Source organism: Homo sapiens, chromosome 5 (assembly GCF_000001405.40).
Source record: "Homo sapiens chromosome 5, GRCh38.p14 Primary Assembly".
NCBI classification, from domain to species: domain Eukaryota; kingdom Metazoa; phylum Chordata; class Mammalia; order Primates; family Hominidae; genus Homo; species Homo sapiens.
Window position 1 is genome coordinate 118,207,586 of NC_000005.10, and position 16,903 is coordinate 118,224,488.

At 38.1% G+C, this 16,903-nt stretch overlaps 1 long non-coding RNA gene across 1 annotated transcript in view; it reads left to right on the top strand.

The window, feature by feature from the left end:
• Window positions 1–16,903, top strand: part of LINC02147 (long intergenic non-protein coding RNA 2147) — a 535,702-nt gene that overhangs the window by 477,225 nt on the left and 41,574 nt on the right. The gene's annotated exons all lie outside the window — the stretch shown is intronic.

Consider the following 16,903-nt stretch of genomic DNA (forward strand, 5'->3'; position numbering starts at 1 on the left):
TACAGCTCATAAAGGCAGTGCAGACCCAAACAGTGAGCAGTAGCAAGATTTATTGCAGAGTGAAAGAACAAAGCTTCCACAGCGTGGAAGCGGACCCTGCAGGTTGTCACTGCTGGCTGGCGCAGCCTGCTTGTATTCCCTTATCTGGCCCCACCCACATCCTGCTGATTGGTCCATTTTACAGAGAGCGGATTGGTCTGTTTTAGAGAGAGTTGATTGGTGTATTTACAATCCCTTAGCTAGACATAAAGGTTCTCCAAGTCCCCACTAGACTCAGGAGCCCAGCTGGCTTCACCTAGTGGATCCCGCGCTACACTGGGGCTGCAGGCGGAGCTGCCTGCCAGTGCTGCGCTGTGCGCCTGCGCTCCTCAGCCCTTGGGCGGTAGATGGGATCGGGTGCCGCAGAGCAGGGGGCAGCACTCATCGGGGAGACTTGGGTCACACAGGAGCCCAATGCAGGAGGGGGAGGCTCAGGCATGGCGGGCTGCAGTCCCCGAGCCCTGCCCCACGGAGAGGCAGCGGAGGCCCCACAAGAATTCGAGCACTGCGCCGGCGGCTGGTGGCTGGTGGCCAGCACTGCTGGGGGACCTGGCGTACCCACCACAGCTGCTGGCCCGGGTGCTAAGCCCCTCACTGCCCCTGGCCGGGGGCTCCGAGTGCAGGGCCCACGGAGCCCACGCCCACCCGGAACTCAGTTGGCCTGCAAGTGCCGCCTGCAGCCTGGGTTCCCGCCCACGTCTCTCCCTCCACACCTCCCGGCAAGCTGAGGAAGCCAGCTCCAGCCTGGGCCACCCCAGAGACAGGCTCCCACAGTGCAGCGGTGGGCTGAACGGCCCCTTAAGCGCAGCCAGAGTGGGCGCTGAGGCCCAGGAGGCGCCAAGAGGGAGCGAGGGCTGCGAGGGCTGCCAGCACGCTGTCACCTCTCACTACCACCTTGTAAAGAAGGTGCCTTGCTTGCCCTTCACATTCTGCCATGACTGTTAAGTTTCCTGAGGCCTTCCCAGCCATGCTGAAACTGTGAGTCAATTAAATCTCTTTCCTTTATAAATTACCCAGTCTCAGCCAGTTCTTTTATTTTATTTTATGTATTTTCAGACGGAGTTTTGCTCTTGTTGCCCAGGCTGGAGTGCAGTGGTATGATCTTGGCTCACTGCAACCTCCGCCTCCCAGGTTCAAGTGATTCTCCTGCCTCAGCCTCCCGAGTAGCTGGGATTACAGGCACGCCACCACACCCAGCTAATTTTTTTTTTCTTTTATTTTTAGTAGAAACGGGGTTTCATCATGTTAGCCAGGCTGGTCTCAAACTCCTGACCTCAGGTGATCCACCCACTTCAGTCTCCCAAAGTGCTGAGATTACAGGCATGAGCCACTTCGCTTGGTGTGGCAGTTCTTTATAGCAGTATGAAAATCGATTAATAAATAAATTCTTACTAGAGACTGGGATGCTGCTATAAAGATACCCAAAAATGTGGAAGTGACTTTGGCACTGGGTAACAGGCAGAGGCTGGGACAGTGTGGAGGGCTAAGAAGACAGGAAGATGTGGAAAAGTTGGGAACTTCCTAGAGACTTGTTGAATGGCATTGACCAAAACTCTGATAGTGGTGATATGGACAATGAAGTCCAGGCTGAGGTAGTCTTAGATGAAGATGAGGAACTTGTTGGGAACTGGAATAATGGTAACTCCTGCTATGCTTTAGAGACTAGTGGCATTTTTTTCCTGCTCTAGAGATTAGTGGAACTTAGAACTTGTGAGACATAATTTACAGTATGTGGCAGAAGAAATTTCTAAGCAGCAAAGTATTCAAGAAGTGACTTGGGTGCTCATAAAAGCATTCAGTTGTATGCATTCATAAAGAAATGGTTTGGAATTGGAACTTATGTTTAAAAGCAAAGCAGAGCATAAAAGTTTGGAAACTTTGCTGCCTGACAATATGATAGAAAGGAAAAACTCATTTTCTGAGGAGAAATTCAAGCCAGCTACAGAAATTTGCATAAGTAACCAGGAGCCAAATGTTAATCACCAAGGCAATGGGGAAAATGTCTCTATGGCATGTCAGAGGGCTTCATGGCAGCCCCTCCCATCACAGACCACAGACCCAGAAGCCTAGCAGGGAAAAACGTGGGCCAGGCCCAGGGCCCTGCTGCTTTGTACAGTCTCAGAACTTGTGCCCTGTATCCCAGCTGTGGTTAAAAGGGGCCAATGTACAGCTCAGGCCACAGCTTCAGAGGGTGTAAACCCAAAGCCTTGGCACTTCAATGTGTTGTTGGGTCTTTGGGTATGTAGAAGTCAAGAAGTGAGGTTTGGGAACCTCTGCCTAGCTTTCAGAGGAGGTATGGAAATGCCTGCATGTCCAGGCAGAAGTTTGCTGCAGGGGCGGAGCCCTCATGGAGAACCTCTGCTAGGGCAGTGGAGAAGGGTAATGTGGGGTTGTAGCCCCCACACAGAGTCCCCACTGGGGCACTGCCTAATGGAGCTGTGAGAAGAGGGCCACCATCCTCCAGACCCCAGATTGATAGATCCTCTGACACCTTGAACCTTGCACCTGGAAAAGCCACAGACACTCAACACCAGTCCATGAAAGCAGCCAGGAGAGAGGCTGTATCTTGCAAAGCCACAGGGACAGAGCTGCCTAAGACCATGGGAGCCCACCTCTTGCCTCAGCATGACCTAGATGTGAGACATGAAGTCAAAGGGATCATTTTGGAGCTTTAAGATTTGACTGCCCTGCTGGATTTTGGATTTGCATGGGGCCTATAGTCCCTTGGTTTTGGCCAATTTCTCCCATTTGGAATGGGAAAATCTACCCAATGCCTGTACCCCCACTGTATCTTGGAAGTAACTAACTTGCTTTTGATTTTTCCAGGTTCATATGCAGAAGGGACTTGTCTCAGATGAGACTTTGGACTTGGACTTTTGGGTTAACTCAGGGGACTGTTGGGAAGGCATGATTGGTTTTGAAATGTAAAAGAAACAGAAGATTTGGAGGAAGTCAGGGGCAGAATGATATGGTTAGGCTTTGTGTCACCACCCAAATCTCATTCTGAATTGTAATCCCCATAATCCCCACATGTGAAGGGAGAGACCAAGTGGAGATTACTGAATAATAGGGGTGGTTTTCCCTATGCTGTTCTCATGGTAGTGAGAGAGTTCTCATGAGACCTGATGGTTTTATCAGGGGCTCTTCCCCCTTTACTTCACTCTTCTCATTCCTGCCACCTTGTGAAGAAGGTGCCTTGCTTCCCCTTTGTCTTTTGCCATGATTATAAGTTTCCTGAGGCCTCCCCAGCTATGCTGAACTGTGAGTCAATTAAACCTCTTTCCATTATAAGTTACCAAGTCTTGGTCAGTTGTTTAAAGAGTATGAAAATGGACTACTACAGTGGGAATGGGAGATAAATTATGGTAAAAATGTCAAAGTATCATCTCTCTCGTAACAATCAGTAGAATATACAAAAATTTTTAAATAGCCATAGCAATATATTTTTTATTTGATTTATTTTACCTTTCAATAGTATTGTTTTATTTACCACTGTTATAAAATACTTTATATGAAAATAGATAGAATAGTATAATGAATCTCCATGTGCTCATCAAATATGGTGGTAAAGAGCAGAACAAACAAGTGTTAGAAATAGGGAGAGGTGGAGCAGGAACTGGTATTTTTAATTGTATGCCATTTAGCACTATCTTAAGTTTTAACTACTTATATGTCTTATTTTAATGACATAATTATATAAAAATAAGCATAATGCAAATAATTTTAGAAATTGACCAAGCATAAAAAGATTAAAATTGGCTGTGCATGGTGACTCACACCTATAATCCCAGCACTTTGGGAGTCTGAGGCAGAAAAATCGCTTGCACCCTGTAGTGGGAGTTGCAGTGAGCCGAGATCTCACCTCTCTCACCTCTGCACTCCAGCATTGTTGATAGAGTGAATAGGACTCCATCTCAAAAAATAAAAATTAAAGATTAAAATTATCCCTATAATCCTGTCACCCAGAGGGTACCACAGCTGAAATGCCAGTGTATTTTCTAAAATTGTGGTGTAAAGCTCAAAAATAAGATAGTTGATTCAAACAAACACAAAACCTTCAATCTTTAGATCTAATATCTTCCTTTGGAAAATACTCTTAATCTTCAAGCACTCTTTGGAAAACAGTAACATTACAATTGACATTGCAATTGACACTGGGGAAATCTTGGCAGGAACTGAATTGAGTAGCTTGGAAAGGAATCACCCACAGCTGTCCTTGACTGGATGTATCCAATTTGACCATTAAACAGGAGAAAAACACAGGGCCCACTAATTGAGTATGATAATCAGCAGCCTACCTTAGAGTCACTTTTGTGAAAGTTAATTCAGTTTGATTAAGCCTCCAAACCATCACTGTTAAGCTTGAAGCAATATTTCATGACTGCTATTTCTCTCTAATGGATTGCATTACGACCTATGAGTTTTAGTCTTTTTAAATTTGAAAATGTTATATATATCTTATCACCAGTTACTCTTACCTCTTATCTTTAAAATGTTCCAACGTAACTGCAAAATTACTATACCCTAATATCCCATCTATACAGATAGCAGGTCTCACATAAAATCTCATTCTATTTTGCAAGTCATTTATAAAGATACTGGCTGTTCCTTTGTTCATATGACCATTGATTTAAAGAGTAGTTAAAATGTCCCATCCTTTTTCCTTTAACAGAATTTTGTCACTTCTTTGCCATTAAAGAATAACCTAACTTATCTGCTAGCCTTGGGTTTAAGATGTTAATTTTTGTATTTAATGTTTCTATCAATGACCCTGTAATGTGGAAACTATTTTAGATTTGTCTACAAGTGCAGATATTTCTATTTAGGGAGGGCAATTTTATTGAGGCCTTTTGGGCTTTGGGACCATTTCTAAACTTCGCTCTTAGTGCTAAGAGTGAAAATATTGTTTTCACAATACAAACTCAAGAAAATGCTGAAAAATTAGCCTGTCAACACTTTTCTTCTTGTTAGATTTGTGTTTGATTCTTGGGGCTATTGTATAAATTTCCATAATTTATGCAAACAATGTAAGTAAGTCACATATCAAAAACAATCATATTAATGATACAATATTCTCTTGAACACTGGTGGGTTGGCATCATTTTCTTAAACTGGAGATATAAATGTACATTTAAAGTATATAAGCACACATAGATTAGTATTTTATACTATTGGTAGTACTGTATCATCCCGAGAGTTATATCCCCTAATGAAATGATAAGCTATTGGTCTTGAGGGACTCAAGATGGGCACTGACAAGGGTGGGGACACAGAGGAGTATACCCACTGACAAGCTGTTTCACCTAAGAGAGGCGTGGTTTGAAAATTGTACCTGGAAGGGCATTAGGACAGAAAAACTGTATCACTACAAAGATTCTATATAAACAATATTTTTATTATCAGTTTCTATCATAAGTCTTATATTAGTCACATTTTGAACATACACTATTTTACCCAATTTGAGAAACCTAGATGTAACATTTGAATTTTGTGGGCTGAGAATATGTTAAATTTTGAGGAAATTTGTAACATGTAGGGGGTCATATAATGCTTATTTCCTTCTGCATCACCAACCCATTCCATTCTTTGTTATTGCCTAGTTACCCCAGAGAAATAGAAGTGAAGCTCAGTAGATGCTTCCCTGATCAAAAACACAGAATGGGCCAGGCGCAGTGGCTCACGCCTGTAATACCGACACTTTGGGAGGCTGAGGTGGGTGGATCATGAGGTCAAGAGATCAAGACCAACCTGGACAACATGGCAAAACCCCGTCTGTACTAAAAAAAAAAAAAATACAAAAAAATTAGCTGGGTGCGGTGGTGTGCACCTGTAGTCCCAGCTACTTGGGAGTCTGAGGCAGGAGAATCACTTGACCCTGGAGGGGCAGAGGTTGCAGTGAGCCGAGATTATGCCACTGCACTCTAGCCTGGAGACAGAGGGAGACTCCATCTCAAAACAAACAAACAAAAACCCACACAGAATATTACAAGGCTACAGCAAAGAAAGTTTTCATACAAGAGCTCACTACCCTTAAAACCCACAAGCAACCACAGGTATTTTCTGTTGTTTTAGTTTATTCTGGAAAAAAAAAAAAAACTCTCTAAAAATTACCACCTTTTTACCCATACCTGTATCTCTTCTTGGCTCTAGACTGTCTAGACTTCTAGCCAGCTGCGAATTCAAAACACATCTCTCATTCAACATACCCCAAAAATTTAACTCAGAATTTTCCACCCAATTTTGACCCTCTCTCTGTTTCCACCACCTTAGTAAATGACAGTGTCTGAAGTAGAAACCTGGGAGTCATGATAATTTCTATATTTCCCAAAACACCCACATCAAGTTCAATCCACCTACTATATCATCTTTCTCATCACTCAAGTCCAGCTCACCATTCTCTCATCTAGAAAATTACAGTGGACTTCTAGATGTCCCTTTGTGCTTAAAAAACCCTCAAAGGCTTCTCATTGTTCCTAATAAAATGTCTGAACTACTAATAAAAACTAAAAGCTTTTGTGTGAACTGGTCCTTGCCTACCTCTCTAGACTCACTTCTTGCCACTCTGACTTACTCTTTCAGATAAACAATCTTTCTGTTTTTGTATTGTGCTGTCTTGTATTGTGCTGTTCTGTTTTGTATTGTGCTTCCCACATGCTGTCTCCTTGTCCCAAAGGATTTAGTGACTCTATTTTCTCCCGGTTAGCTTGTGAGTAAGTCTTATACATTCTTAAGTGACCATTAGACCAATTGCCATTGCCTTGTATCCTCAGACAAGACATGGCTCTCATGTTTATGCCAAGACTCTCTATTCTTCCTTCTCAGTAACTCTACTTTACTTGAGGTTTTACATTTAATTGTTTAGTGTCTCTGTCATTTGTTAGACCAGTGGTCAGCAAACCTCTTCTGTAAAAGACCAGTTAGTAAATATTTCAGGCTTTCCCAGGCAAATGGTCTCTGTTAAAACTACTCAACTTGGCTCTTGTGAAAAAGCATCCACAGACACTAAGTTAACAAATTTGTGTATTTGTGTTCCTGCAGCCTCTGGGTCATAGTTTGTCCATTCTGTTATTAGATTATAAAATCCATGAAGGCACTGAGCATATTTGAATTTTTCACTGTTGTATTTCAGTTTCCACTGCAATATTTGGCACACAATAAGCATTCAGTACATATTTATTAGATGAATGAGGGTCAATAAATGAACAAGATTTTGGATCAATATTAATCAGTTGTGAGGGTGCATATGTATATATTTTTTCATCTGTGCTTCTAAGCCTCAAGAAAGCAATTGTTTGACAAAGGAGATTACTCTTAGATGATCCAGTCATTATTCAGATTTGCTCTTGATATGCTTGACAGTCTCAGACAAGCTCAAAGCACAGAAATTTAAGCAATTAGTGAGGGAGTCTCTACTTGTTCATAAGATCCCTTAAACAAAACAAGAGTTTAAAGGAGAATGAGAACTAAAGAGAAAAACCATGCTCCAGTATTCTATTTTCACCTATCAGGAAAACTGAAGGAGCAACTAAGAATCTTTTCTTTTTTACTAGTGAGCTAAGCACGTAAGTACAGAAACAGTAATTATTAGAAAGAGAAAAAAAAAAAAAAAAACTCTTAACAAAGCCCAACAAGGAATCATAAAGACATTCACTTCAAATTATGGCTGAGAACTTCAGTAGCAGCCAATTAGGCACTTAAGCTTCACTTAGAAAGGTTTTTATCCAGAAAAGAATAGTTTCTGGGGCTTCCAGTCAAGATGTTAAATTGAGCATACACAGGTATGTTTATCACGTCTCAGTTAAGGTTGTTTGGAACCAAGAGAAAACCCAGTAAGATTTAAACCCATGTGACTATGGGGAAATGAGACTGGATGTATGCCTCAGGGACCCAGGCTTTAAGCCAGTGTCGGAAAGAGTAGATTCAGGAGGTGCTATCACTAGTCAGTGAAAAAGCACTGGGCTCCCTGCATAGAGCTTGAGCCTAAACAAGGGCTATTACTTATGTGAACAGTGACTTGAAATTTCAGCAGCCAACTTGTAGCAGCCACAAACAAAATGCTTACCCAGGACATATGTGAAAACAGAGAATACCCATACTATAAGAATCACAAGCACATGTATTGATTACTGTGGGGGTCTGAACTGATCCCACCCTTTAGTTACAAAACTACTGAACTGAGAAATAAATCTAAGTGTTGATTCAGTTCTGATGAAACCTATAGTGTCACCTGAAGAGAAAGTGAAGAATTCCCCAGAATACATATGAGAAAAAATACCTATTAATTCCATAAAATAGTGTCCACAGAATCAATAAACTAGGGAATTTACAAAGAACCAGACCACAGTACAATTCACAAGGCATTTTTTAAAATAAATACGTTTCAAGAGGGCAAAAATGAAATCCATAAAAAGAAGATGCTATGAAAGAACGACAGGCAGACACAGAAACAAATCAGAAAAGAATAAAAATTACATATAAAACAAAGTATTTGAAATAAAATAATAACTAAAACTGTAGAGATGCTAAAGAGTAACTTACTACAATAGGAGATCAAATCAAGTCTCAAAGTAGAACAGAAAGCTGTATAGAGACAAAAAGTATGAAACAGAAGGTAAGAAGTATTACTTTCTTATGGTAAGAGAGAATGAAAAAGAAATATTTAGTACAGAATGAAAATTTTCCGTAGTTGAAGGTATAATTCTTCAGCCTACAAGTGTTTCCAGAATTCCAAGGATGATTTTTAGAAATTCTACCCAGACATGAAAATTAGCAAAACTTCTTAACGTTTTCCAAATAGGGGAAAAAAATCAGTACTCAGAAACTTGTACCTAGGACGAGACCCATCAGAATGAACACAAATCCAATCAGAATGGATAGCAAACTACTTACCAACAACAATAAAAACAAAAAATGAGATGAAAATAGTGTAATAAAATCACCAAAGTATCAAGGAAATATATTTACCAAACTAAAATTTCACAAACAAGCACAAAAATGAAATAAAAACATGTTTGGACATAAGATTTTCAAAAGAATTTCTACACACAAGTGTGCACTGAAGGGATTACTAAAGGATGTATTTCTTGAATAATAAAAATGATTCCACAAATGGAGGATTGGGACGAAAAGAAGTAAGTATATGAAAATAACGTTTTTGTCTGGGCATGCTGGATCACATCTGTAATCCCAACAGTTCGGGAGGCCAAAGGAAGGTGGATCGCTTGAGGTAAGGGGTTCAAGACTAGCCTGGCAAACATGGTGAAACCCCATCTCTACTAAAAATACAAAAATTAGCCAGGCATGGTGGCACACGCCGGGAATCCCAGCTAGTTGGGAAGCTGAGGCATGAGAATTGCTTGAACTTGGGAGGTGGATGTTGCAGTGAACCAAGATCAAGCCACTGCACTCCAGCCTGGGTGATAGAGTAAGACTTCATCTAAAAAAAAAAAAAAAAAATAGGAAGACAATAAAAATTTTTAATTATATCAAACATTTAAGAAAGGAATTACACAAATTCTTCACGATTTCTTCCAGAAAATAGAAGCAGAATCATTACTTCCTAACTCATTCTATGAGGCCAGCATTACCCTAATACCCAAAAGAGACAAAGACATTGTAAGAAAAAACTACAGACGGTTATCGTTCATGAACGTAAATACAGAAATCCTCAACAAAATATGAGTAAATTAAATCTAACAATGTATAAACACAATTATACACTGTGACAATGTGGGATTTATCCCAGGTATGCAAGGCTAGGTCCACTTTCAAAAATCAATTAATGTAATTCATCAGATAAATTGACTGAAGAAGAAAAATCATATAATTTTATCAGTAGATACAGAAAAAGCACTGGATGGAATCCAATACCCATTAATGATAAAAATTAGAAAACAAACTGAAAACAAGGAATTGAGAGGAAGTTCCTCAACTTGATAAAGAACATCTACAAGGAACTGACAGATAATATCCTATTTCATGGTGAGAAACTAGATACTTTCTCCATAAAATTGGGGATAAGATGATACGTCTCTCACTACTCCTATTCATCATTATACTGAAAGACCTGGCTAATGCAATAAAAAAAGAAAAGTAAATAAATATATACAAATTTGGAGGAAGGAAATAAAATTACCTTAGATCATGGATAATATCATTGTCTATGTAGAAAATCTCCAAGAAAAAATACCCTGAAACTGATTATTATAGAAAGGTAGGAAGATATAAGTTTAATATATGAAAGTCAATTGCTTTCTTGTACAACAGCAATGAATTAAAATTTGAAATTAAAAACACAATGCCATTTACATTAGCACCAAACATACAAATAAAAAATACTTAGTAAACTAGAAAAATATGTATAAGGTCTACACAAATGAAACTAAAATATACTGATGGAAGAAAGCAAAGAAGATCTAAATAAAGAGATAGTCCATATTCATCGATAGGAAGATTTAATATTGTTAAGATGTCAGTTCTTCCCAAATTCTTATTTATTGCAATTCCAATAAAAATTCCAGAAGATTATTTTGTGAGTATCAACAAGCTGATTCTAATGTTTACATGGAAAGGCAAAAGACTCAGAATAGCCAACATAATATCGAAGAAGAATAAAGTTGCAAGACTGGCACTAACCCACTTTAAGATTTACCATATATCTACAGTAATCAAGACATTGTGGTAGTGGTGAAAAATGGACAAATAGACCAATTAAACAGGATAGACAACCCCAAAATAAATCCACGTAAATATAGTCAGTCGATCTTTGACAAAGAAGCAAAGGGAATTCAATAGAAAAAGACAGTCTTTCAGGAAACGTGCTGGAACACAAGTTGGGAAACATACGCAAAAAAAGAAAAAATAATAATCTGGACACAGACATTACATATATCATTACATTATACATTATACATTACATATTACATTACATATATCATTACATGTATCAGAAAAATTAACTCATAATGGATCATACATCAAAATGTAAAACATAAAACCTGATATGGTTTGGATGTTTGTCTCCTCTAAATCTCATGTTGAAATGTAATCCCCAGTGTGGGAGGTGGGACCTGGTGGAAGGCATTTGGGTCATGGGGTTAGATCAGATCTCATTAATAGCTTGATGCCATCTCACGGTTATGAGTGAGTTCTCTGAGTTTATAAAATATCTGTTTGAGAGAGTCTGGGACCTCCGGTTCTCATTGTCTCTTGTGCCCTCTTTAGCGATGTGATGTGCCTGCTCCTCCTTTGCCTTTCACCATGATTGTAAGCTTCCTGAGGCTCTCAGCAGAAGCAGATGCTGGCACTATACTTCTTGTACAGCATGAAGAACTGTGAGCCAAAATAAACCTCTTTTCTTTACAAATTACCCAGTCTCAGCTATTCTTTTCTAGCAAGGTAAAAACTGACTAATACAAAACCATAGAAATATAGAAAATAACAGAGGATAAGATTTAGGTGTCCTTGAGTTTGATAACTTTTTAGATATGACACCAGAGCCATAAAAGAACATTTAATAAGTTGAACTACATTAAAATTGAAAACTTCTGCTCTGCCAAAGACACTTTTCATAGAATGAAGAGGCAAACCACAGCAAGAACATATTTACAAGGTGCATATCTGATAAAGGACTATGATCTAAAATATACACAAAAACTCTTACAACAGTAAGAAAACAATCCAACAACAAATTGACAAAAATCTGAAAAGACACCTCACAAAAAGCTATACAGATGGCAGATAAGCATATGAAAAGGTTCTTAATATCACATGCCATTAGGGAATTATAAATTAAAACAATGAGATACTTCTACATGCCTATTAGAATGACTAAAATATGAAACATTAACAAAATAAATGCTGACAAGGATATAGAACAACAGGAAATCTCTCGATTGTTAATGGGAATAAAGTAGTATAAAAACTTTATGAGATAGTTTGGCATTTCTTACCAAGCTAAGCATTGATTTACTCTCTAATTCAGAAACCATGCTCCTTGGTATTTACCCAAATGAGGTGAAAACATTTCGACAAAACATACACATGGATATTTATATTAGTCTATGCATAATTGCCAAAACTTGGAAGCAGGCAAGATGTTCTTCAGTATTTGAATGGATAAACAAACTATGGTACATTTATACAATGGAATATTATTCAGTGATAAAAAGAAATGTGCTATCAAGCCATGAATAGACATGGAGGTATCTTAAATTTCTATTTCTAAATGAAAGGAGCCAATCTGAAAAAGCTAATATTACATGCCTCCAACTGTAAGTCCTACTGAAAAAGGGAAAACTATAGAGACAGCATAAAGGTAAGTGGTTTCCAGGGACTAAAATAGAAGAAAAGAAGGGAAAACAGGGGATTTTTCGGGTGGTAAAACTCTTCTGTATAGTAGTCGACGGTGGATTCAAAACATTATGCATTTATCCAGACCCATAGAACTTCACAAAGCTAACGCAAGCTATGAGCCTCTGTGGATAATAATATATCGGTACTAGTTCATCATTGGTAACAAATGCACCGCGAATGCACGATGTTAATAATAGAGAAAACTACAAGAGAAAAGGATAGTATATATGGAAACTCTGCCTGCTGCCCAATTTTTCTGTAAACCTGAAACTTCTTTAAAAACCAAAGTCTATTAGTCTAAAAAAACACCTTGGTAAATATGGTTGGTAAATTTAAGTGATCTTAAAATATAAATTAGCAAAACTTATGTATTTTAAAGATGGCTTAAAATTCTAGATAAAAATAATAAACAATAAGAGACAGTTTAGAAGCAAATTTGACTTCCTCAAGAGAAAGAAAAAATTATTAACTCTCAAGACACCTTAGAAATATAAAAGTTGATTTCAAGTTTTGTCATGAAATGACAGCAATTCAGTCAAATCTTCAGGCTCCATTTCTAATTATAGTTCTCTTGCTATTTCTACCAAATCGGCAGTTACTTCCTTCACTGAAGCCTTGAATCCCTTAAAATCATTCATGAGAGTTGGAATCAATATCTTCCAAACTCCTGTTAAAGTGGTTATTTTCACCCCCTCCCATGAGTCATGAAAGTTCTTAACGGCATCTAGAATCATTTCCAGATGGATTTCAGTTTACTCTGCCCAGATCCATTAAAGGAATCACTATCTATGGCAGCTATAGCCTTACAAAATGTATTTCTTAAAAAAAATAAGGATTGAATGTCAAAATTACTCTTTGATCCATGGGCTGGAGAAAGGATATTGTGTTAGCAGCCACAAAAATATTAATTTCCTTGTACATCTCCATCAGAACCCTTGGGTGACCAAGTGCACTGTCAATAAGTAGTAATGTTTTGACAGAAATCTTTTTTTCTAAGAAGTAAATCTCAACAGTGGGTTTAAAATATTCAGGAAACCACACTATAAATTCATGTGCTGTCATCCAGACTTTATTGTTCCATTTTGAGAGCACAGGCAGAGCAGATTTAAGATAATTCTTAGGTGCACTAAAATTTTCAGAGTGGTAAATGAACATTGACTTCAACTTAAAAGTCACCAGCTGCATTAGCCTCTATAACAAGAGTCAGCTGTCATTTGATGCCAGCCATTGACTTCTCTCTATGAAAAGCCTCGATGGAGTCTTCTTCCACGATAAGGCTGTTTCATCTACACTGAAAATCTGTTGTATAGTGTAGCCTACTTCATCAATTATCATAGCTAAGTCTTCTGGATAACCTGCTACAGTCTTCCATATCAGTACTTGCTACTTTACCTTGCACTGTTATGTTATGGAGATGGTTTCTTTCCTCAAACCTCATGAACCAACCTCTGCTAACTTCCCATTTTTCTTCTGCAGCTTCTGCACCTCTCTCAGCTTTCACATAATTAGGGCCTTGCTCTGGATTAGGCTTTGGATTAAGGGAATGTTGTGGCTGGTTTCCTCTTCTATCCAGACCACTAAAACGTTCTCCACATGAGCAATAAGACTGATTTTCTTTCTTATCATTAATGTGTACACTGGAGTAGCCTTTTAAATTTCCTTCAATAACTTTTCCCTTGCATTCGCCACTTGACTGTTTAGTGTAGGAGGCCTACTTTTTGGGCTGTCTCAGCTTTTGACATGCCTTCCTCACTAAACTTAATTATTTCTAGCTTTTGACTTAAAAGCTAAATGACTTTTCTTTTCGCTTGAATACTTAGAGGTCACTGTAAAGTTATTAATTATCTTAATTTTAATATTTTTGTATCTCAGGGAAAGGAGACCTGAGGAGAGGGAGAAAGACATGAGAGAATGGTAACTGGATTATTTCACATAGCATAGCATCTTCCAGGTCCATCCTTATCATTTACTGCAAATGGTAGGATTTCCTCCTTTTTTAAGGCTGAACAATATTTCATTGTATGTATACACCACATTTTTTTAAATCTATTTATCTCTCAATGGATACTTGGGAAATATGTTTCAATAGAAATTTAAAAAGGAAAAAGCAAAGAGCAAATATCAGTGAAATGGGATAGAGTTGAGAACCAGGCTCATACATAAATGACAGTTTTGGAATGGCAAATCAATAAAAATTAGAATGAACTAGTGAATAATTAGCAACAATTTTTTCTCAATATAGAATATTTTTGAAAAATAGTTTTCTTACCAAATACCACAAAAATAAAATCCCACTGAACTAAAATACAAACATAAATAAAAAACTTTAAATCTATTAAAGCAGACAATTTATAAGAAGTCAGGTGGAAAAGAATTTCTTAAATAAGATTTTGAAATTATATACCTTATGGGAAACAATAATACATTTTATTATATCAAAATGAAACAATTTTAAATATCAAAGTTTATTATGAGCAAGGCAAAAATACAAGTGACTACAGTATTACAACATGTAAAGCAGTCAAAGGATTAGTATGCATATTCCAGAATTTATAAAGAACATGTATAAATCAGTAAGAAAAATGTTAATCATAAATTAGAAAGTGAAAGCCAGAACAGATAAATTATAAAAAGTTTTTCAATCTCATTAAATTATTGAATAAATAAATTATTGAAACAACAATTTTCCACTTAATTTGCCAAATTGGTAAAAATTTATATTCTGATAATGTCAAGTATTAGAATTTGGGGAAAAATGGTATTCTCAAATACAACTAGTAGAAGCATAAGTTGATACAACTGCTCTGGGAACAATTTGGCAATATCCAGTTAATTTAAGTATATGTATGTCACACAAATCAATTCAACAACTGTACTTCTGAGTATATACCCCATAGAATGCTCACACTGGTTGGCACTGAGTGGCTGTGGCCTTTCCAGGTGCACAGTGCAAGCTGTCAGTGTATCTACAATTCTGGGTTATAGAGGATGGTGACCCTCTTCTCACAGGTCCACTAGGCAGTGCCACAGTAGGGACTCTGTGTTGCCGGAGGCGGGGGACTCCAACCCACATTTCCCTTCTGCACTGCCCTGGCAGAGATTTTCCATGAGGGCTCCACTCCTGGACCTGGACTTCTGGGCCTGGACATCCAGGCATTTCCATACCTTCTCTGAAATCTAGGTGGAGGTTCCCAAACCTCAATTCTTGACTTCTGTGCACTGAAAGGCCCAACACCACATTGAAGCGCTGAGCTTGGGGCTTGCCTCCAAACCTTTATGCTCTGCTTTCCTTTTAAAAATGAGTTCCAATTTCCCATCATCTCTTCATGGATGCATAAAACTGAACATTTTCAGAATAATCCAGGTCACCTCTTGAATGCTTTGCTGCTTAAAAATTTGTTCCATTAGATACCCCAAATCATCTGTCTCAAATTTAAAGTTCCACATAGCTCTAGGGCAGGGGCAAAATACTGCCAGACTCTTTGCTACAGCGTAACAAGAGTCACCTTTATTCCAGTTCCCAACATATTCCTCCTGTCTTCTTCTGAGCCCTGTAAACTGTTCCAACTTCTGCTTATTATTCAGTTCCAAAGTTGCTTCCATATTTTCAGGTTATCTTTATAGCAGTACTCCACTCTAGTGGTACCAGTTCTCTGTATTAGTCTGTTTTCACAATGCTATAAAGAAATAACAGAGACCAGATAATTTATGGAAGAAAGAGGTTTAATTGACTCACAGTTCTTTATGACTGTGGAAGCCTCAGGAAAGTTACAGTTATGGCAAAAGATGAAGCAGAAACAACGAATGCCTTACACAGTGGCAGAGATAAATGTAAAGGGGCAACTTCCAAACATTTTTAAAACCGTCAGCTCTTTTGAGAACTCCCTCACCATCATGACAACAGTATAGGGGGAAACTTACCCCATGATCCAATCACCTCCCAAAGGTCCCTCCCCACTTCCCTCGACACATAGGGATTACAATTTGAGATGATATTTGGATGGGGACACAGAGCCAAACCATATCAGGGAATAAACATAGAAGGCATAAGTTCTAATGTTTGGCATCAGAATAGGGTGACTAGAGTTAACTGCAATGTATTATACATTTCGTAGTAGCTAGAAGAGATAACCTGATTGTTCCCAACACATAGAAATGATAAATACTCCAGGTGATGGAAACCCCAAATACCCTAACCTGATCATTACACATACCAGGCATGTAAGAAAGTATCACATGTACCCCATAAATATGTAAAATGTTATGTATCAATACAAAATTTTAAAAAATAAGAATAGTGTCTTCTCTACATAAAATTTACCTTCATTTGTATACTAATTGAATCCTATGAAATAACTGTCTTTGGCTACTATAAATTGCTCTTCCTCTTTCTTACAATACATGTGTATTTTACATGTACCTATTTCCCCATAGAAAATAGATTTTAAAAAACACACACAATATAATGAATATTAAGATATATTAATTTATAATTACTTGGGTAAGAACC